Here is a 1,950-nt window from a genome sequence, read left to right on the forward strand (position 1 = left end):
AATAAGAGAGAACACAAACAAATGGAAAAACATTCCATGCTCATGGATAGGAAGAATCAATATCATGAAAATGGCCATACTGCTCAAAGTAATTTATAGATTCAATGCTATCCTGTCTCCTGTATAGCCAAGACAACCCTAAGCAAAAAGAACAAAGCTGGAGGCATCATGCTACCTGACTTCAAACTATACTACAAGACTACAGTAACCAAAACAGCATGGTACTGGTATCAAAACAGATATATACCAATATATAGTATCAAAACAAATATATACCAATAGAACAGAAGAGAGGCCTCAGAAATAACACCACACATCTACAACCATCTGATCTTTGACACACCTGACAAAAACAGGCAATGGGGAAATGCTTCCCTATTTAATAAATGGTGTTGGGAAAACTGGCTAGCCATATGCAGAAAACTGAAACTAGACCCCTTCCTTACACCTCATACGAAAATTAACTCAAAATGGATTAAAGACTTAAACGTAAGACCTAAAACCATAAAAACCCTAAAAGAAAACCTAGGCAATACCATTCAGGACATAGGCAAGGGCAAAGACTTCATGACTAAAACATCAAAAGTAATGGCAACAAAAGCCAAAATTCACAAATGGGATCTATTTAAACTAACGAGCTTCTGAACAGCAAAAGAAACTATCATCAGAATGAACAGGCAACCTACAGAGTGGGAGAAAATTTTTGCAATCTATCCATCTGACAGAGGGCTAACATCTAGAATCTACAAAGAACTTAAATAAATTTACAAGAAAAAAACAGCCCCATGAAAAAGTGGGTAAAGGATATGAACAGACACTTTTCAACAGAAGACATTTATGCAGCCAACAGACACAGGAAAAAATGCTCATCATCACTGGCCATCAGAGAAATGCAAATCAAAGCCACAATGAGATACTGTCTCACGCCAGTTAGAATGATTAAAAAGTCAGGAAACAACAGATGCTGGAGAGGATGTGGAGAAATAGGAATGCTTTTACACTGTTGGTGAGAGTGTAAATTAGTTCGACCATTGTGGAAGACAGTGTGGCGATTCCTCAAGGATCTAGAACAAGAAATACCATGTGATCCAGCAACCCCATTACTGGGTATATACCCCAATTATTATAAATCATTCTGCTATAAAGACTCATGCACACGTATGTTTATTGCAGCACTGTTCACAATAGCAAAGACTTGGAACCAACCCAAATGCCCATCAATGATAGACTGGATTAAAAAAATGTGGCACATATACACCATGGAATACTATGCATCCAAAATAAAACGGATGAGTTCATTTCCTTTGCAGGGACATGGATGAAGCTGGAAACCATCATTCTCAGCAAACTAACACAGGAACAGAAACTGCAACACCGCATGTTCTCACTCATAAGTGGGAGTTGAACAGTAAGAACACATGGACACAGTGAGGGGAACATCATACACCAGGGCCTGTCAGGGGGTGGGGGGCTAGGGGAGGGATAGCATTAGGAGAAATACCTAATGTAGATGACAGGTTGATGGGTGCAGCAAACCACCATGGCACGTGTATACCTATGTATACATTCTGCACATGTATCTCAGAACTTAAAGTGTATTAAAAAAAAAGAAGTCTTTTAGAATTAGCTACAGCTAATGGATAAAGAAAAACTTGGAGAAGTTGAGCAATACAATAAAATTTGGTTTAAGAGATAATATGTAGAACTTAACGTGCCTTAAAAAAGAATATACATCTTTTTTATATACCATGAGACATTTATAAAAATTGATTATGTAATTGACTCCAGAGGAAGCCATAAACTTTAAAAAACAGAGAGCAAAAAGGAGCAGAAAGGGAGGGGGGAGGAGAAAGGGCTAATAAATATGTAAACAGTCACTATGCTTCATTTGCAGTCAAGGATGCATATTAAAGTAACAATGTACACTTCTTACCATTAAACTGACAAAAT

The sequence above is a fragment of the Homo sapiens genome, chromosome 1 (genome assembly GCF_000001405.40).
Source record: "Homo sapiens chromosome 1, GRCh38.p14 Primary Assembly".
Classification (NCBI taxonomy): Eukaryota; Metazoa; Chordata; class Mammalia; order Primates; family Hominidae; genus Homo; species Homo sapiens.